Source organism: Homo sapiens, chromosome X (assembly GCF_000001405.40).
Source record: "Homo sapiens chromosome X, GRCh38.p14 Primary Assembly".
In the NCBI taxonomy this organism is placed as follows: domain Eukaryota; kingdom Metazoa; phylum Chordata; class Mammalia; order Primates; family Hominidae; genus Homo; species Homo sapiens.
The window spans coordinates 98,838,971-98,861,951 of record NC_000023.11 but is presented as its reverse complement, the minus strand read 5'-3'; the positions used below and the strand labels follow the sequence as shown (position 1 = coordinate 98,861,951).

General features: G+C 37.3%; 1 long non-coding RNA gene across 2 annotated transcripts in view, besides 1 other annotated feature; it reads right to left on the bottom strand.

Annotated features, from left to right (window-relative positions):
- Positions 1-22,981, bottom strand: part of LINC03077 (long intergenic non-protein coding RNA 3077) — a 293,892-nt gene that overhangs the window by 5,813 nt on the left and 265,098 nt on the right. The gene's annotated exons all lie outside the window — the stretch shown is intronic.
- Positions 5,388-5,548: a silencer, noted in NCBI's record as "fragment chrX:98111402-98111562 (GRCh37/hg19 assembly coordinates)". NCBI's record gives its function as "represses an EF-1alpha promoter that drives an FKBP-Casp9 reporter gene in an ReSE screen in HepG2 liver carcinoma cells {active_cell/tissue: HepG2}" and the evidence as "EXISTENCE:reporter gene assay evidence [ECO:0000049][PMID:32094911]".

The window sequence follows — 22,981 nt, the reverse complement described above, 5'->3', positions numbered from 1 at the left end:
AACAAAATGCATTACAGTTTTTATTTTTCTGAAAAAATATTTGATTTAAGCTCTTATTATTTTTAAGCCAATCATTCAGAGCTCTCTCATATATAACCATCACACACGCAACACATATAAATACACAGAGAGGCAGAAGATTCAGTAGTTGTAAGATTTTTCATTTGTTAATTTTAAGTTTCTTATTTGGATTACTGGCTACAGGGTGGAGCCCTTTGAGAAACAGGGCCAGAAAAGCATGCAGGTTCTAGGGCCTAATAAGCAGGCAGGCACATCTGGAAGGCAAAACAGATCCCTGAAAATTAAGGGTCCCATTTTTATACCAGATCCTGGATTCCATATAAGGAAGGAATCAGTCCATCTCCCATGGGAGTCTTACCTCTCAGTGGGGAGTGAGGAGATCGCCATATCTTCTATGTGGGCAAGAGCATGCGTCTCTGATCCAAACGTGTAAAGAGATGCATATCCCACCTTAACTGCAAGTAGTCACCCCTAAAAGTATATTTCCTACCTAGTGATTATACACTAAAGCGCTCTCATAACGTGAAGTAATTTCTGATATCCACAAAAGTCATAAACATCAGATAATGCAATGCAAAACAGAACAGAGCCTTAGATTTTGAGAGAAATGTATCTGCTTTCAATTCCTGTGGCTTTCTGAGGAAAACAGAAGTTTTTCCCAAAATGAGGTTTGTCTCACTTTCTCCGTTTTTCCCAAGATGTCCCAGGCTGTTAGAAACTATCTTAGATCCTTTCATTTGTGCATCAAGAGTGGCAAGAAGACAAATGGAGAAAAACAATTCAGCTGATTGAGAAGAAAAAAAACCCTTTACTACAGGAAAACACAATCCAAGAAGAGAAAAAAAATATAAAGACCTTTTAAATATATGCATGGTTTAGATATCTGCTTTTAATAAAAGTTGAATTTTAATCATAGCATGCTTTTAAATAAATTCTTTTAAATATCTTATTACCCTGCTTTAGGTAGACCATACATCCAATATTTCTGGCTTTTAAACTTTACAAAAAGTAACCTCACAGGCGAAATCAATAAGCCTTAACTAAGGTTATGATTTAACCACAAGTGTACAGGGTATTTTCAATAAGGTGGCTAGCAGTTTTTACAGGATCTAGAATCTCCAAAGTAGCTTAGAGAAAGAAAAATTTAAGAAGGAAAGTCAGATATTGTTCATGGAGGAGCAGAGAATCAATAAATGGCAAAGGTCACACAGATATCAAGCAGAAAGCACTGATTCCCTAAGCCAGGAATTTAACTCTGAACCCATGCTGCCATTGGAAAAAGACAAAGCCTTAGCTACTAAACTGCAGCATTGGGCAGTTTCCATTTCTCTTCCCAGAAGGAGGCTAGAGCAGTGAATTTTGAGCTTGAAATGGCTTTTAACTTGCTCAAGATAATTTTGTGAGCTAACTATGACACGAATTCCAAAAATCCTGTCCTCCAGATGGTGGAGATGACCAAGACAAAGTTTCTGAACACGGTTACAAGGTCAAGCTCCTAAGGACATAAAACAAGAAGAGAGGAAAACTTCATTATTTTGTTTTTGTTTTTATGGTTCAGGGTTTTATGGTTCTGCATGGATCTCAGAGGATGGGGGCTGTACTCTGGCTGTTTTCATGACTGGCGTTGAGTGTCAGTGGCTTTTTCTGGTGCGTGATGCAGGCTATTAGTAGATCTACCATACTGGGGTCTGGAGGATGGTGGCCCTCTTCTCACAGCTCCACTAGGCAGTGCCCCACTGGGGGCTCTGTGTGGGGGCTCACAACCTGATTTTTCTTCTGCACTGCACCTAGCAGATGCTCTCCATGAGGGCCCTGCCCCTGAAGCAAACTTCTGCCTGGACATCCAGGCATTTCCATACATCCTCTGAAATCTAGGCAGAGGTTCCCAAACCTTAATTCTTGACTTCTGTGTACCCACAGACTCAATACCACATGGAAGCTGCCAAGACTTGGGGCTTGCACCCTCTGAAGCTATGGCTTGAGCTGTACCTTGGCCCCTTTTAGCCAATAGTCATGGCTGGAGGGGCTAGGATGCAGGGCACCAACTCCCTAGACTGCACACAGCAAGGGAGCCCTGAGTCTGGCTCAGAAAACCATTTTTTCCTCCCAGGCCTCTGGACCTGAGAAGGCCTCACAATCAAGGCAAAAGACAAAGGAGGAGCAAAGTCACATCTTACATGGCAGCAGGCAGGAGAGCCTGTGCAGGGGAACTCCTGTTCATAAAACCAGCAGACTGATGGGAGGGGCTTCTGTGAAGGTCTCTAACATGGCCTGGAGACATTTTCCCCATTCCCTTGGTTATTAACATTCGGCTACTTGTTACTTATGCAAATTTCTGCAGCGGGCTTAAATTTTGTCCCAGAAAATGTGTTTTCTTTTCTACTGTATTGTCAGGCTGCAAATTTTTCAAACTTTTATGCTCTACTACCTCTTGAACACTTTGCCATTTATAAATTTCCTCCCCCAGATATCCTAAATCAACTCTCTCAAGTTTAAAGTTCCACAGATCTCTAGGACAGGAGCAAAATCCTGCCAGTCTCTTTGCTAAAACATAGTAAGAGTCACCTTTGTTCCAGTTCTTAGCAAGTTTCTTAACTCCATCTGAGCCCACCTCAGCCTGGACTTCATTGTCCATATCACTATCAGCATTTTGGTCAAAGCCATTCAGCAAGTCTCTAGGAAGTTCCAAAGTTTCCCACATCTTTCTGTCTTCTGAGCCCTCCAAGTCTCTAGGAAGTCCTAAACTTTCCCACATTTTTCTGTCATCTTCTGAGCCCTCCAAACTGTTCCAACTTCTCTATGTTATCCAGTTCTAAAGTTGCTTCCACATTTTTGGGTATATTTACAGCAGCACCCCACTTTACCAGTACCAGTTTACTGTATTAATGTGTTCTCATGCTGCTAATAAAGACATACCTGAGACTGGGTAATTTATAAAGGAAAGAGGTGTAATTGACTCACAGCTTAGCGTGTCTGGGGAGGCCTCACAATCATGGCAGAAGGCAAAGGAAGAGAAAAGTCATGTTTTTCATGGTGGCAGACAAGAAGTCATGTGCAGAGAAAGTCGCCTTTATAAAATCATCAGATCTCATGAGACTTATTCACTATCATGATAACGGCATGGGAAAGATCCACCCCTATGATTCAGTTACCTCCCAACAGGTCCCTCTCACAACACATGGGAATTATGGGAGCTGCAATTCAAGATGAGGTTTGGGTGGGGACACAGCCAAACCATATCACTTGGAAAGCATATTTTTGCCCCAAAGATGTTTGAGGTATTTAGATATTACCAGAGACTGGTGAAAGAATGTTAATTGGTCCCTCAAGTCATATAAAGGGGTGTGAATCTTTTCTATTGGAGGGAGGGGATGCCATTTACTTTGATTGCCCAACGAGACTTGAAGGAGAATTGTTCAGAGAAGGAGATTAGCACAGAGTAGGCAGCTCTTGAACCCAAAAGGGAAAATTATAATTTTACTTGCCACCTCCAGAGTTGCCCTCAGCTTTATCTTGTTGGTGACAATGTCTCATTTGACAGCCAGCTGGAGCAGAGAGCTCCTTCTGCTCAAAGTTATCAGGGGAAAGAATTCTGTCCTGGGGTCCATCAGCCCTCAGGGCAGTCCTGTTCTAGTGGCTAAGCTTGTGGCAGAGATGGCACACCACATGAGGCTTTTTCCCATTTGTCCCAATGGGGCAGTTTGCCTTCCAGTGGCCTGGCGTCCTGCATCAATGGCACTTATTTGAAGGAGTGTCCTTAGGGAAACCTGGAAGGGGCTGGTGGGCTTGCAGAGCAGCCAATAGTTGAGTCCGCCTCCTTTTGATGTGTTTCTTCTTTTTCTTAGTCCTGTCCTCTTTATTCTACTCTCAGTTATAAAAGACTTAAAAGGCTTATTTGAGGACTTCCTGCTCAGGGGTACTGGGTTCCAAGGCTGACTTGTAAATTTCTCCCTGTTCCTTTTTAAGCCAAACAGTATTAAAAATGAAAACTAGTTTTTTGTTGTTGTTGTTGTTGTTGTTTTAAGGTTTGGGGATATCAAACTTTTCCCAGTTTTGGGGGATGCATCCGAGGGGCATGTCCTGTGGTACGTAGACATGATTACTGATCTGTGAAGAAATAATGGAAGAGAAAAAATAAAAAAGGCAAAAGAAGGTTTTTCCTCTACCTTACTATTATCCTTAATGGGGCACCCTTCATCATCCTTAGAATATTGGAATGAACCATTCTTACCCTGCACCCTTGGTCCCATCTCATCACAATTACCCACTTGAGAACAAAGGAGACACTGGAGTGAACAGTGGGCCCCCTGTTCATCTGTGGGGTTCCAGAATGAACTGGTCTTACCATATACCCTAATCTTTCATCTCTGTTCTAATGGTAATCTGTTAGCCTGGGACCACACTTCATCTCTGTCCTATGGGTCTCTCATGCCTGTGGCCTTGGGCCAGCCTACATCCTTGTCTCCATGACCTTATGGTAACTTTCACTTGAAGCACTCAAGTAACAAAATGATTATCTCTTTTCTCAGATTTCCATTTACCATGTTCTTTAAGTAGACAAGAAGGCTATTTTTCATCTAATCACCACAGGGGAATGGACTTCCTTTCTATCTCCCTTTGAATATGACCTTGAAGGTCTTGATGCATTTTGAGAAGGGCATAGAATTAGAGAAATGGAGGCTAAAGGAGAAAGTGGGAGGAAGCAAGAGTAATAGTCATGGAAAGCCTTCAAATGCTCGCAAAAACAGTAGCCCTTAGATTTGAGTGGGCAAGTTTTATTTGTCCTCTGGACATAAAGTAGTAACCTCTGGAGAAATAGGGCTTGGGGTAAGAACTCACAAATGGCAAGGAAAGAATTTTTCTTCCTCTCAAAGGGGTGATGACTCAAAAGTAGGTGGGATCCTTAAAAGGCCAGAGTGAGGCCCTAAGCCGGTGGACAAACTGCTTCAAGAGCCACCAGAAAACTTGGCCCTGGGTCATAACAGGAATGAAAAGCGTATGGTAAGTCATAAGAAGCTGACAGAGCCAGGGTTCCAATTAGTGTCTGTCCCAGCAATGCACTAGCCGACTGGAAAAGAGTTGGAGGTCATCGGAGCTGGTAGAGTAAGAACAAGTATAAATCTTAGGAATATCACAAGGGAGCCCATGCCTTTGCTGCTGCACAAATGCAGTAAAAGCCACAGATACACAAATAACAGGGAGTGTGTGCTTAAGAAGTCATGTGGCACTCAAAGTGGGTGCACAAGGCCATTTCTGAACACACACAGAGAAAACAGGAAAATAGTCAGTGCAGGTTCTTGGGAAAGAGCCCATTTTAGTTGAAAAAGCAGAGGAAACCCCAAACATTGCATGGTTTTGGGATTTAGCCTTACCACTCTCACAAACTTCCTGTCCAGGAGGGTCATTAGTGCCTCAGTTCTACTCGGTGTGGACCCCCAAGTTCCTTCCCACCCCTGCAAGCCACCCATTAGGGTGAGCTGAGAGATCATCCAGGGGGACCCGAGTCACTTATGGCCAAGAGGACTTGTTCAGGGGTTTGGTTAGTAAGCAGCAGAGAGAAAAGGAGAAGAAAACCATAGACAGGGTTTGAATGCCTGCAGCCAAAGAAGGTGAGGAATAATCTGTTACCACTAGGGAATGTATCTGAGTCACACAGCATCAAAGTATGTTAGCAGTGGAAGTTATCCAAGTCACATGACACCTAAATATGTTACCGGCAGTGAATCTGTATGGGTCTGCAACAATCTCAATTCTTGCCTTCTCAGAGGAAATAATTTAACTGAGGGGCATAAGACAGAAGAAGAGACCGAGGCAAATTTTAGAGCAGCAGTGAAAGTTTACAACAAAACTTTAGAGCAAGAATAAAAGGAAGGGATGTACACTTGAAAGAGGGCCAAGCAAGTGACTTGAAAGACAAGTCCACGGTTTGACCTTTTGACTTGGGGTTTTTATGCACTAGCATACTTCCAGAGTCTTGTGTTCCTTCTCTCCTGATTCTTCCCTTGAGATGGGATGTCCACTGCACAGTGGCCTTCCAGCACTAAAGAGAGGAGGATGCACAGAGTGTTTACTGGAGTTGTATGCATGCTCACATTGGGCATTCATCCCTTACCAGCTGAATGTCCCTTGGAGGTAATATACCAGTTGAACGCCACCATTTTGCCTCTTAGAGAACATGTGTGAACTCACCCAACTCCTGAGATCTTATCAGGAAGTTGCTGATCGATCACCAGTTTCAGGTGTTTTTGTTTATTGGGAGACTTCCTTTCCCTGGCACTGACTGTTACCAATTATTTTAGAGATACAGTTAACAACCACCTGACTATCACCTCGTGGTCGCATGACATTCCTGGTGTATGTGGAGGAGTGCAGTGGAGCCCTCTCCTGCTCTGCTCATGTCTGACTAGCTACATAATGTAACACACCAAGCACATAGAAAATTTTCCCCCAACTCATAGTTTCTGCACTGGAAAAAGTGAGGTTGAGGTGGACAACCTGATTCCCTGTTATCTTGGGTTCCCTGGCAGGAGATCTGTGTTTGCCTCACCCCATAGGAAACATCAGGACTGAAGGGAGAAACATCCCTGAGGACAGCTAGAAACAAAGGAAAGAGGTGCAACTACAATCACTAGCCCTGAAAACTCTGCTCTGTAACTGAGCCAAAGGAAACACCAAATTAGAGTAGCTGTTCCATAGCACCATACTATAGGAAATTCGAACAATAGATCCTGTGATGGTTAATACTGAGTGTCAACTTGATTAGATTGAAAGATGCAAGAATTCTTCCTGGGTGTATCTGTGAGGGTGTTGCCAAAGGAGATTAATATTTTAGTCACTGGGCTGGGGAAGGCAGACCCACCCTTAATCTGGTGGGCACAATCTAATCAGCTGCAAGCCAATATAAAGAAGGCAGAAAAAAGTGAAAAAGCGAGACTGGCCTAGCTTCCCAGCCTACATCTTTCTTGTGAGTTGCATGCTTCCTGCCCTCAAACATCGGACTAAAGTTCTCCAGCTTTTAGACTCAGACTGGCTCTCCTTGCTCCTCAAGCTTGCAGACAGCATATTGTGGGACCTTGTGATCATGTAAGTTAATACTTAATAAATTAATAGGCTATATATCCTATTAGTTCTGCCCTTCTAAGGAACTCTGACTTATACAGATTTTGGTACCAGGAGTGGTTCTAGTGGAACAGAATAATACAGATGGAGTTCTTTCATTGGTTTTTGGGTTTCTGGAGTTGGCTGCTCAATATGATTAGACCCCAAAATGCTAAGGACTCTACTTTTAATAGTATGAAGAACACTGACAGTCATTGGTATGAACTGCTTAGAAAGTTATGCAAAATAAATGCATTTGTCACTCCTGATTCATCACTCATGAGAGGCAAGGAGTTTAGTGATTCTGTACATAATATCTTTGACCATATGTGGAGAACCAAGGAACATAATGAAGCTGGTTGGGTGCTCCTAAGTTTAGTGGACAAAGTGATGAAAGAAAATGATGAAATCAGTGATTCTGTCTCCTGGCTTCAGAAGCAGGTACTGAGCCATTTAATGTTGCAGCTCAGGGAGTTAAAAAAGGTTCAAATAGCTCGTTTACTTGGTTAGCTGAGATAAAATTAAAAGATGGCCCACTGTGAGTGAGCTGGAAATGCCTGATCTCCCTCTGTTAAATATAAAGGAAAGGATCCAAAGGCTTAGGGAGATTGGAATGGTGGAGTGGATTAGTCACTTTAGACCTACTCATCCCGGCTGAAAGGGTCCAGAAGATATACCCTTGACCAATGCCTTGTGAAATAGATTTGTGAGGGCAGCACCTGCATCTTTGAAGAGCCCTGTAATTGCTCTTCTCTGTATGTGTGATTTAACAGTGGGGACCACAGTTACTCAACTACAAAATTTAAATACAATGGGAATAATTGGATCCCAAGGTGGTGGGGGCCAAGTGGCAGCACTCAGCCATCAAAGGCAAGGTGGCCATGGCTACCGTAATGGACAGCAGAGACAAAGCAGCAATCAGAATAGTCTGACTCATGTAGATCTCTGGCATTGGCTAATTAATCATGGTGTTCCTAGAAGTGAACTGATAGGAAGCCTACTGCATTCCTACTTAATTTATACAAGGAGAAAACTTTTAGGTCGAATGGACAAAAGACTAATTTGAAGTATAAAAACAGAGAATAGCAGCCCCTAAATCAATTTCCAGACTTGACCCAGTTTACAGACCCAGAACCACTTGAATGAAGGGGAGGCTGGGTCCCCTTGAGGAAGGCCTCACTACATTTTTGACAATTTATGCAGTGAATCTTTCTCCCTTCCTCCCCCAAGGAGACCTCCAGCCTTTCACCAGGGTAACTGCATTGGGGAAAGGGAAATGATCAGACATTATGGGGACTACTGGACACTGGCTCTGAGCTGATGTTGAATCTCGGGGACTCAAAACATCATTGTGACCCTCCAGTTAAAGTAGGGGCTTATGGAGGTCAGGTAATTAATGGAGTTTTAGCTCAGATCTGACTTACAGTGGGTCCAGTGGGTCCCCGGATTCATCCTGTGGTCATTTCCCCAGTGCTAGAATGCATAATTGGCATAGACCTACTTAGTAGCTGGCAGAATCCCCACATTAGCTCCGTGACTGTCAGGGTAAGGACTATCATGGTAGGAAAGGCCAAATGGAAGCAATTAGAGCTGCCTCTACCTAGAAAAATAGTAAATCAAAATCAATATCACATCCCTGGAGGGATTACGGAGATTCATGCCACCATCAAAGACTTGAAAGACACAGAAGTGGTGATTCCTACCACATCCCCATTCAACTCTCCCATCTTGCCTGTGAGAAAGACAAATTGATCTTGGGGAATGACAATGGATTATCATAAGTTTAACCAAGTGGTGACTCCAAATGCAGCTGCTTTACCAGATGTGGTTTCACTGCTTGAGCAAATTAACACATGTCCTGGTACCTGGTATGCAGCTATTGACTTGGCCAATACGTTTTTCTCCATTCCTGTCCATAACACCCACCAGAAGCAATTTTCCTTCAGCTGGCAAGGCCAGCAATATACCTTTACTGTCCTACCTCAGGGGTATGCTTTTTGTCATAATTTTATCAGAGAGAACTTGATCACTTTTAGCTTCTGCAGGATATCACACTGGTTCATTACATTGATGACATTATGCTGATTGGATCCAGTGAGCAAGCAGTAGTGAACACACTGGACTTATTGGTGAGATATTTGAATGCCAGGGGATGGGAAATAAATCTGACTAAAATTCAGGGAACCTCTACCTCAGCAAAATTTCTAGGGGCCCAGTGGTGTGGGGCCTGTCGAGATATTTCTTCTAAGGTAAAGAATAAGCTGCTGCATTTGGCCCCTCCTACAACCAAGAAAGAGGTACAACACCTAGTGGGCCTATTTGGATTTTGGAGGCAACACATTCCTCATTTGGGTATGCTACTCCAGCCCATTTATCAAGTGACCTGAAAGGCTGCCAGTTTTGAGTGGGGTCCATAACAGGAGAAGGCTTTGCAACAGGTCCAGACTGCTGTGGAAGCTGTTCTGGCAATTGGGCCATATGACCCAGCAGATCCAATGGTGCTTAAGGTGTCAGTGGCAGGTAGGAATGGAATGCTGTTTGGAGCCTCTGGCAGGCCTCCATAGGTGAATCACAGTGGAGTCCTCTATGATTTTGGAGCGAGGCCCTGCCATCTTCTGCAGATAACTATTCTCCTTTTGAGAGACAGCTCTTGGTCTGTTACTGGGCTTTGGTGGAAACTGAGCGTTTGACTATGGGTCATCAAGTTGCCATGTGACCTGAATTGCCTATCATGAACGGGGTGCTTTCTGACCCACCTAGCCATAAAGTGGGTCACACACAGCAGCATTCCATCATCAAATAAAGGTGGTATATATGTGATCAGGCTCGAGCAGGTCCTGAAGGCACAAGTAAGTTACATGAGGAAGTGGCTCAAATGCCCATGGTCTTCACTCCTGCCACCCTGCTTTCTCTTGCCCAGCCTGCACCGATGGCCTCACTGGGAGTTCTTTATGATCAATTGACAGAGGAAGAGAAAACTAGGGCCTGGTTCACAGATGGTGAACCATCTGAACGATAAGCAGGCACCACTCGAAAATGGACAGCTGCAGCACTACAGTCCCTTTCTAGGACATCCCTGAAGGACAGCGGTGAAGGGAAATCTTCCCAGTGGACAGGTCTTTGAGCAGTGCACCTGGTTGTGCACTTTGCATGGAAGAAGAAATGGAGAGATGTGCAATTATATACTGATTCATGGGCTGTAGCCAATGGTTTGGCTGGATGGTCAGGGACTTGAAAGAAGCATGATTGGAAAATTGGTGACAAAGAACTTTGAGGAAGAGGTATGTGAATGGATCTCTCTGAATGGTCAAAAACTGTGAAGATATTTGTATCCCATGTGAATGCTCACCAACGGGTGACCTCAGCAGAGGAGGATTTTAATAATCAAGTGGACAGGATAACCTGTTCTGTGGACACCACCCAGCCTCTTTCCCCAGCCACCTCTTTCATAGCCCAATAGGCCCATGAACAAAGTGGCCATGGTGGCAGGGCTGGAGGTTATGCATGAGCTCAGCAGCATGGACTACCACTCATCAAGGCTGACCTGGCTACGGTCACTGCTGAGTGCCCAGTTTGCCAGCAGCAGAGATCAACACTGAGCCTTCAATACGGCACCATTCCTCGGGGTGGTCAGCTAGCTACCCGGTGGCAGGTTGATTATATTAAATCTCTTCCATCATGGAAAGGGCAGAGATTTCTCCTCACTGGAATAGAGACTTAGTAGGGATATGAGTTTGCCTATCCTGCACACAATGCTTCTGCCAAGACTACCATCCGTAGACTCATGGAATGCCTTATCCATGGTCATGGTATTCCACACAGCATTGCCTCTGACCAAAGCACTTATGGCTAAAGAAGTGCAGCAGTGGGTTCATGCTCATGGAATTCACTGGTCTTACCATGTTCCCCGTCATCTTGAAGCAGCTGGATTGATAGAACGGTGGAATGGCCTTTTGAATTCACAATTACAACGACCACTGGGTGGCAGTACTTTTCAGGGCTGAAACACAGTTCTCCAGAAGGCTGTGTATGCTCTGAATCAGCGTCCAATATATGGCACTCTTTCTCCCATAGCCAGGATTCACGAGTTCAGGAATCAAGGGGTGGAAGTGGAAATGGCACCACTTGCTATCACCCCTAGCGATCCACTAGCAAAATTTTTGCTTCCTGTTCCCACAACATTATGCTCTGCTTGCTTAGAGGTCTTAGTTCCAGAGGGAGGAATGCTGCCACCAGGAGACACAACAACAATTTCCTTAAACTGGAAGTTCAGATTGTTACCTGGCCACTGGGATCCTCCTACCTTTAAGTCAACAGGCTAAGAAGGGACTTAGAGTACTGGCAGGAAGATTGACCCGGACTATCAAGATGAAACCAGTCTATTACCCCATAATGGAGGTAAGGAAGAGTAAGCATGGAGTACAGGAGATCCATTATCCTGTCTCTTAGTATTACCCTGCCCTGTGATTAAGGTCAATGAGAAACTATAACCGCCCAATCCAGGCAGGACTACAAATGATCCAGACCTCCCAGGAATGAAGGTTTGGGTTACTCTACCAGGAAAAAAAACCCACCACCTGCTGAGGTGCTTGCTGAAGGCAAAGGGAATACAGAATGTGTAATAGAAGAAAGTAGTCATCAATATGAGCTCCACGTGACCAGCTGCAGAAACGAGGACAGTAACTGTCATGAGTATTTCCTCCTTCTTTTATTAAAAACATGTTTGTGCATGTATATACTTGTACTAAGAAAATATCTTCATTTTATTTCCTTTTTCTTTATCATGTGACATCAGATTTATTGACTTCATATCAGTATTTACGTATTGTTAACTTTAAGTAGTAGTATTTGGGTTGGGGACTGATTGGTGCATTTCCAGTTGTACGAAGAATAGTTATATTAAGTTAGGGATAATTATGACCTTATTATTGTCTTTATTTGAAGATTATGTATAATCTCAGGAGATGTGTATGGGTTCAAGTTGACAAGATGTGGATTTGTGATGGTTAATACTGAGTGTCAGCTTGATTGGATTGAAGAATGCAGAGTATTGTTCCTGGATGTGTCTGTGAGGGTGTTGCCAAAGGAGATTAACATTTGAGTCAGTGGGCTCGGGAAGGCAGACCCACCCTTAATCTTGTGGGCACAAATTAATCAGCTACCAGTGCATATAAAGCAGGCAGAAAAACATGAAAAGGCAAGACTCCCAGCCTACATCTTTCTCCCGTGCTGCATCCTTCCTGCCCTCAAGCATCGGACTCCAAGTTCTCCAGTTTTGAGACTCGAACTGGCTCTCTTTGCTCCTCAAGCTTGCAGACAGCCTATTGTGGGACTTTGTGATCGTGTAAGTTAATCCTTAATAAATTCCCATATTTTATATATATAATATATATTATAAATATATATATAGTAAATATATATTATAAATACATATATTATAAATACATATATTATAAATATATATAATATATATTATAAATATATATATTATAAATATATATTATAAATATATATATTATAAATATATATATTTATAATATATTATAAATATATATTATAAATATATATATTTAAAATATATATATTTATAATATATTATAAATATATATATTATAAATATATAGTTTATATTTATATATAAATATACAGTTTATATTTATATATAAATATACAGTTTATATTTATATATAAATATATACAGTTTATATTCATATATATAAATATAAATGTTTATATTCATATATATAAATATACACAGTTTATATTCATATATATAAATATATATGTTTATATTCATATATATAAATATATATGTTTATATTCATATATATAAATATATATGTTTATATTCATATATATAAATATATATGTTTATATTCATATATATAAATATATATGTTTATATTCATATATATAAATATATATGTTTATATTCATATATATAAATATATATGTTTATATTCATATATATAAATATATATGTTTATATTCATATATATAAATATATATGTTTATATTCATATATATAAATATATATGTTTATATTCATATATAAATATATATGTTTATATTCATATATAAATATAGTATATGTTTATATTCATATATAAATATATAGTATATGTTTATATTCATATATAAATATATAGTATATGTTTATATTCATATATAAATATATAGTATATGTTTATATTCATATATAAATATATAGTATATGTTTATATATAAATATATAGTATATGTTTATATATAAATATATAGTACATGTTTATATATATATAGTATATGTTTATATATAAATATATAGTATATGTTTATATTTATATATGTAAATATATATAGTATATATTTATATTTATATATGTAAATATATAGTATATATTTATATTTATATATGTAAATATATAGTATATATTTATATTTATATATGTAAATATACGTAGTATATATTTATATTTATATATGTAAATATACGTAGTATATATTTATATTTATATATGTAAATATACGTAGTATATATTTATATTTATATATGTAAATATACGTAGTATATATTTATATTTATATATGTAAATATACGTAGTATATATTTATATTTATATATGTAAATATACGTAGTATATATTTATATTTATATATGTAAATATACGTAGTATATATTTATATTTATATATGTAAATATACGTAGTATATATTTATGTTTATATATGTAAATATACGTAGTATATATTTATGTTTATATATGTAAATATACGTAGTATATATTTATATTTATATATAAATATCTGTAGTATATATTTATATTTATATATAAATATAAATTATTTATATATAAAATATATCTATTATAAATATATACATAATATATTTTTTATATATATATATATATATATATATATATATATATATATATATATCCTATTAGTTCTGCCCTTCTAGGGAACCTTGACTAATACAGATCCCCTGGACACAAATCCCTAGCCAGACATTCCATACTTCCAGAATATTTCCTTTGGGATCTCCCCCATTCAGATTAAGTACCATTGATTCCTTACTAGAACAAAAGAAAACTTTGGCTAAAGTCACCATATACTGCTAAAAATAAGGCAGCATCTGCCAGGTGTGGTGGCTCATGCCTGTGATCCAGCACTTTGGGAGGCCAAGGTGGGTGGATCACCTGAGGTCAGGAGTTCAAGACCAGCCTGGCCAACATGGTGAAACCTCATCTCTACTAAAAATAAAAATTAAAAAAAATAGCCAGGCTTGGTGGTGGGCACCTGTAATCCCAGTTACTCAGGAAGCTGAGGCAGAAGAATCACTTGAACCCAGAAGGCAGAGATTACAGTGAGTTGAGATCCTGCCAATGCACTCCAGCCTGGGCAACAAGAGTGAAATTTCGTCTAAAAAAAAAAAAAAAAAAGGCAAATTACAAAAAAACTCTAAGAAAATGTATGTAATAAAAAAACTAAATAACCCAGACAGAAACAATTGGACTAAATAACGAATCCTTCAATGCAAAGGCATAGCTGTACATCCACAAGAAACGGTAGCAAATAAGAAATGGTAGCAATCATCATCTCCTCAAATTGACAAAGCCAAGTACCAGAGACTGACCCTAATGAGATGGTGATATGTAAACTTTCTGATCAAGAATTTAAAATAGTTTTATTAAAAAGTTCAGTGATCTCCAAGATAGCACAGAAAAGCAATTCAGGAATGTATAATAGAAATTTAATAAAGAGATTAAAATAATAAAATCAAACAGAAATCTTGAAAGTGAAAAATAAATTTGCTCAACTGAAAAATTCATAAGGGGCTCTCAACAGCAGAACAGATAAAGCAAAGGAAAGAATCAGTGAGCTTGAAGACAGCTTATTTGAAAATATAGAATCAGAGTAGAAAAAAAATGAAAAAAGACAAATATACCCAACAAGATATAGAAAATTATCTCGAAAGACCAAATCTAGGAATTATTGGTGTTCAAGAGGGCATTGAGCAAGAGCAAGGAGTGGAAAGCTTATTCAAAGAAATAATAACAGGATACTTTTTAAAACTTGAGAAAGAGATCCAGGTACAGAAAGATCCAGGTACTTTTTAAAACTTGAGAAAGAGATCCAGGTACAGAAAGATCAGAGAACACAAAACAGGTTAGACCCAAATAAGACAACCCTAGGACATAATCAGTCTCTCAAAGTTCAAGGAAAAAGAGAATCCTAAAAGAACAAGGAAAAAAAGCAAATATAATAGAAAAAAACTGAAATTATTCTGTTAACAGACTTTTTAACAGAAATCATACAGGCCAGGAAGGAGTGAGATGACATATTCTAAGCACTGATCTAAAAAAAATAAAAACTCTCATTGAAGAATACTGTACCCAGAAAAACTATCTGTAAAATATGAAACAGAAATAAAGTTTATCTTAGACAAGCAAAAGCCGATCACCACCACTAGACGAGCCTTACAAGAAATGTTAAAGGGAGTTCTGCAATGTGAAAGTAAAAGACAATAATGTGTAAAAAGAAAACATATAAAGGTATAAAACCCACTGGTAAAATTAAGTACAAATACAAACCCAGAATACTCCAATGCTGTAACTGGTGTGTGCAATCCACTCATAACTCTAGTATGGAGCCCCAAGACAATTCTATCAATAACAATATTACCTATAGCAACCTGTTAAGAGATAGGTAATATAAGATATGTAAATTTGGACAGCATAAAGCCAAAATGTGGAGGGGGGGGTGGAGTTAAACTGTAGAGGTTGTTTTATCATTTTTTCTGTTTGTTTATATTCCTTTTTCTGTCAGCTAAAGTAAGTTGTCAGCTGTTTGAAATAACTGGTAATAACTGTAAGCATTTTTTGTAAGGTTCATGGTAATTACAATGTAAAAACTTATCATACGGTCCTAAAAAATAAAAACCAATAAATTTAAAGATACTACCAGAGAAAATCACTTAACCACAAAAGAAGACAAGAAGAAAGGCAGACAGTAGTTACAAGACAATCAGAAAACAAACAACAAAATGACAAAAATAAGTCCTTATTTATCAAAAATAACACTGAATGTAAATAAACTCACTTCATTTAAAAACCATACAGTGGTTGAATAGATAAAGAAACAAGACTCAATTATATGTTTCCTAAGACAAAACCACTTCACCTATAAAGATACACAAAAACTGAGAGGGAAGGGGTGGAAAAAGATATTCCATGCAACTGGAAACTAAAAAAGAGCAGGAATGGCTATATTTATATAAGATGGATTATAAATCAAAAACTATAAAAAAAGATAAAGCAGGTCACTATATAATGATAAAGGAGTCAATTGAGCAAATTAATAGAACAGTTATAAATATCTATGCGCCCAACACCAGGGCTTCCAAGTATGTAAACAAACATTAATAGATCTAAAGGGAGAGGTCGATTGCAATATGATAATAGTAGGATACGTCAAACACCACACTGTCAGCAATGGACAGATCATCCAGAGAAAAAATTGATAAAGAAACATAGGAGATAAAGTATAGACTAGAAAAATAAGCCTCGCTGATATTTACCGATCATTTCACCCAACTGCTGCAGAATACACATTCTTTTCATTAGCACATGGGACATTCCCCAGAATAGGCCACAAAACAAGTCTCAACAAACTAAAAAAGATAGAAATCTTATCAACTATCTTTTCTGGCCACAATGATATAAAACTAGAAGTGAACAACAAGAGGAACCTCAAAATACACAAACACATGCAAATTAAACAACATGTTCTTGAATGGCCAATGGGTCAGTGAAGAAATTAAGAAAAAATTTAAAATATTTCTTAAAACAAAAGAAAATAAAAACACAACATACCGAAGTCAATACGATGCAGCAAAACTTGTACTGAGGGAATTTTATAGTAATAAGCAAATGCCTGCATCAAAAAAGTAGAAAGACTTAAAAAAAGCAACAACAACTAGTGATGCAGCTCAAGAAACTAGAACGGCGAGAACAAACCAAACTCAAAATTAGTAGATGGAAAGAAATAATAAATATCATAACCTAAATAAATGAAATTGAGACTAAAAATAATACAGATCAACAAAATGAAAAGTTGATGTTTTTAAAAAAGATAAACAAAATTGACAAACCTTTAGATAGACTAAGAAAAAAAGAGAGAAGATTTAAATAAATAAAATCAGAAGCCAAAAAGACGTAACAAATAAGACCACAGAAATACAAAGAATCATTGGACACTATTATGAACAACTACATTCTAACAAATTGGAAATCCTTGAAGAAATGAATAAATTCCTAGAAACATATAACTTATCAACACTGAACCAGGAAGAAAAAGAAAACCCAAATAACAAACAAGAATAACGAAGCTATAATAAAAAGCCTCCCATCAAAGAAAAGCTCAGGAGCTAATGGCTTCACTGCTAAATTCTACCAAACATTTAAAGGAAAAATAATATTAATTATACTCGAATTCTTCAAAAAAATTTAATGAGGAGGGAACACTTCCAAACATATTCTACATTGCCAGCATTTCCCTGATACCAAAACCAGATAAGGAAAAAAATAAAGATAACTACAGGCCAATATCACTGATGAACATAGATGCAAAATTCCTCAACAAAATGCTAGCAAATCAAATTCAACAACACATTAAAATGATTATTCACCGTGATCAAGTGGGATTCAGCCCAAGGATGTAAGAATGTTTCAACATATGCAAATCCATAAAGGTGATACATCACATAAACAGAATCAACAACAAAACTGTATGATAATTTTAATAGGTGCTGAAAGAGCATTCAGTAAAATTCAACATCTCTTTATGATTAAAGCACTCAAAAAACAGGGTATAGAAGGAACATATGTCAAAGTAATAAAGACCATCTATGACAACCCCACAGTTAACATCATACTAAATGGGGAAAAATTAAAATCTTATCCTCTAAAATCTAGAATAAGAAAAGGATGCCCACTTTCACCAGATGATTTAGGCAAGAGAAAGAAATAAACAGCATTAACATTGGAAAGAAATAAGTCAAATTAGCCTTGGTTGCAGATAACATAACCTTACACTTTGAAATACCTAAAGACTTCACCAAAAAACTATTTAATCTTAGAACTGGTAAAAGAAATTTAGGGAAGTTGCAGGATACAAAATCTACATGTGGAAAGCAGTAGCATTTATATATGCCAACAGTGAACAATCTAAAAAAAGTCAAAAAGCAATACCATTTACAATAATTGCAAAGAATATAAAATACATAGGAATCAATTTAACCAAAGAAGTTAAATACCTCTACAAAGAAAACTATAAAACACTGATGAAAGAAATTAAAGAGAATACAAAAAATTGGTATTCCAAGCTCATGGACTGGAAGAATCACATAACTAAATGGCACCAATACCCAATGCAATTTAAAAACTCTATGCAATCCCTATTAAAATGACATTCTTCACAGGAATAGAAAAACAATTCTAAAATGTACATGGAACCACAAAAGACTCAAATAGCCAAAGCCATCCTGAGCAAAAAGTACAAAGCTAGAGGCATCACATTAACTAAATTCAAAATATACTACAAAGCTATAGGAACAATATCAGCATGGTACTGGCATAAAACAGACACATAAACCAATGTAACAGAATAGAGAATTTAGATATAAACCCATAAGTTTACAGCCAACCCATTTTCAACAAAGGTGCCAAGAACATATAATGGGAAAGGGACAGTGTCTTCAATAAATGGTGCTGGGAAAGCTGGATATCCATATGCATAAGAATGAAACTAGACCCCTATCTGCTGACATATAAAAAATAAAATAAAAATGAATTACAGACTTAAATTTAAGACCTCAAACTTAAATTTAATACCTGAAACTACTATAAGAAAACACTGGGGAAACTCCCCAGGACATTGGTCTGGGCAAAGATATTTTTTGGTAAGACCTCAAAAATGTAGGCAACAAAAGCAAAAATTGACAAATAGGATTACATCAAGCTAATGAGCTTGATACAAAGGAAATAATCAACAAAGTGACAAGACAATCCACAGAATGAGAGAAATATTTGCTAACTATACATCTGATAAGGGATTAGTAACCAGAATATGTAATATTCCCAAACAACTCAATAGCAAAAAAAGATTTGATTAAAAAATGGGCAAAACATCTGAATAAACATTTCTCAAAAAAAGACATATGAATTGTCAGCAAGTATTGAAAAAATCTTCAACATCACTAATCATCAGAGAAATGCAATTCAAAATCATAATGAGGAATCATCTCACCCTGGGTAAAATGGCTTTCATCAGAAATACAGGGAATAACAGATGTTGTCAAGGATTTAGAGAAAGGGGAACCCTCTCACACTTTTGGTGGAATGCAAACTAGTATAGCCGCTATGGATAATCATATGAAAGTTCCTCAAAAAACTAAAAATAGAATGATCATATGATTCAGCAATTCCCCTAATATATAAATATTCTCTCATTCTGTGTGTGTGTATATATATATATATATATATATATATATATATATATATATATATATATATATCTCCAAAAAAAGGAAATTAATATATCAAAGAGATACCTCCACTCCCATGTTTATTGCAGGCCTATTCACTATAACCAAAACATGGAATCAACCTAAATGCCCATCAGTGGATGAGTGGGTAAAGAAAATGTAGTATATAAGTACAGTGGAATATTATTAAGCCATGGAAAAGAACAAAATCCTATCATTTGCAGCAACATGGATGGAATTGTAGGTAATTCTATTAAGTAAAATAAGCCAAGTATAGAAAGACAAATATTTCATGTTCTTACTCACATGTGGGAGCTATAAAACTGGATCTCATGAAAATAGAGTGTAGATTGGTGGTTACCAGAGTCTGTAAAGGAAAGGGAAGTTGAGTAATGAAGAGAGTTTGATTAATGGGTAAAAATATACAGTTTGATAGAAGAAATAAGACGTCATGTTTGATAGATAAGTAGGTGATGATAGTTAAAATAATCTGTTTTATATTTCAAAATATCTGCAAGTGAATAGTTAGAATGTCTCTATCAGAAAAAAAGACAAATATTTAAGGTAATGGATGCCCCAATTACACTGATTTGATCTTCATAAATTTTATGAATATATTATCACATGTACCTTCTCAAAAAAGCAAGATAATAGATTAAAATACTGTATACTATTTAAATATAAAAACCTGTAAAAAGTAAATAAATGAACTATGAACTCGAGTCATGAAAAGACATAAAGGAACCTGAATGTGTATCACTATGTGACAGAAATCAATCTAAAAAAGGTTAAATTTTACATGATTACAACTATATGACATTCTGGAAAGGGCAAAACCATTGAGATAGCAAAACAATCAGTGAATGCCAGGGTTTCTGGTAAAAGGGAGCGATGAATAGGTAAAGAACATGGGATGTACAGGGCAATGAAACTATTCTGTATAGTACTGTAATGGTAGATACTTGTCATTTATCAAAACTCATAAACTGTAGAACACAAAGAGTGAAACTTAATGGGATTTATGGACTTTAGATAATAATATTACTGTATCAATACTGGCTCATAATTTGTAACAAATGTAACCACATCAATGTAAAATGTTAATAATAAGGGAAATTGGAAATGGTAGTGAGGAAATATATAGAACCTCTCTCTACTTTCCACTCATATTTTTGGAAACCTAAAACTGCTCTTAAAAGTAAAGTCTATTAACAAAACTAGTGTTCAGGAATGTAGTGGTTGAACTCAGAATTTCTTTTGCTCAAATTTTATTTTTGCAAAAAGTTAAGTCTAGAAAGTATACGTATGCTGATCATATCTTCATAGTAACATATTTTAAGTAAGAAAATAGCACCGTGAAAATCGGTTAAAAATAGAAAATCTATTAAGTAGTCTGTTTCCATGAAAACATCTAATATTTATAGCACAATTTTATAATCCTACTTATCTAAAATTACATCTTCTAAAGGTTTTAAATGTGATGATTCCATACTTCATTTTACTAATCACTTTATGCATTTGTTGTGTGGTAAATGATGTGAAAAAATGATAAGAACTATGTATCCTTGCCTAAATCATAAAATAAAATGATTTTTTATCTAACCTTATTTTCCCTTAAGTGATTACTCAGCTGTCTTGTCTGCCCCAGAGTACTCTGCTAAAGCTTAACCAACTACAGGTTCTCAGTACTCTGTCTTGAATGACACCAACATATTATACTTTTCTTCTTTGAGTCGATCAAGGTATAGTCATATGTATAAATTAATTCAATCCCATTTAATGTCCATTGCCTTTCATTTTAGGGGCCACCAGCTGCATATACAACTTTCTCAGAAATTGCATCTCACAATCTAGTCGAGACATTTCTAACTTAAATTCCTAGCTTTTCTAGCCTTCTCTTACCTGTTTTAATAACTTTAAATATTTTGACTTACTCAAATTTGCCAATTTTTACACAAGTGAATACATGAATAAAAGTGGATGGCTAAATATTTGTTGACTTCTTTAGAAAAGCAAAATTTGTTCCAGTTAACCCTGATACAGTACACACAAATACGCTTGTGTGTGTGCACGCTCATGTCTGTATTCACCTGAAGGTAAAATTCTGAATTTGGAAGGACATTCTTTTTAAAATATCAGGCTCACTGCTAACATTTGTGAGGCCCAAGTTAAGAGTATAACTAGAGGCAACAAAAATGTGCTTAAATATTTTAAAGTGATTATCAACAAACTATTACATAGAATATGCCCTGTCTTCCTACATTGACAGATATACATTCATAAAAACAAAATTAGAAATATATATATATATATATATATATATATATATATATATATATACACAAAGATATGGTTTTTGTATAACTCAAATTTGGCAAAATTTCAAAGATCACTGAATGATATTATTGGGCATATCTAACTCTTCTGTTCATGAAACAGCAATATTTGAATAAGTAAAAATAAAGACATCTATAGTTTAAAAATTACCATATTGCTATTTCATAAATATTATTATTATTGTTTTTATTTTGAAAAAATACATAGATTGTGCATGCCCAATGAATTCTGGTGGGTCTCCACTGCTCCAACTCCTCTTCTTAATAAGGCCCAGCTGGCTCTGCCATAGCTTCTGTTGAACTGTGACCTTCAGGTACTGAGAAATCTATAGAGCATAAGGAAGATGCCAGGATACCTGGGAATCTGGGGAATGGAGTTAAATCCATTTATATTAAAATAATTACTGACCAAGAGACCAGACCTTCAAGAAGACTGACACACTCCAAACAGATCTTTGGATGGAAGGCATGAAAAGTAGACAGAGGGAGGACACTGACAATAGGTTGAAGCGGGAGGAAGCTGGGAAACCCGCACTGGGCTGCCAAGCAAAGAGACTTATTCCAGGAGCCCAGTGGCTCCTGAAGAAGGGGTGAGTTAAATAGGTGAATAGGGGCCCACTCACCATGGACCTCTTGAATCCTAATTGCAGGAGGCCCCATAACCCAGTGCAGACATTTGAGCTGGCAGGGAGAGCTGCTTGGAGAAGTGACAGGGACGGGACTACAGCCTGTGCAGAATCCAGAGGGTTTGGTGCAGGAATGGCTGCAGTGGAGTATGGCCAGGGATCCAGGGATACCCATCTCCCAAGGCCTGCCATGCTCCTTTAGGTGGCTTTGGCCTTTGTTAGTGGTAGGACCTAGATAGAGCAGGGCTGTCTTGCCTATGGGACAGGGTCAGTGTGTTCTGAGCACCCGTCTCTCTGCTGGGCACTCCTAGAGTCCCTCCCTGCCCATGCATGTTTGCAGTACAGCCTCAAATGACCAACTGGGGTGCTTCCTCG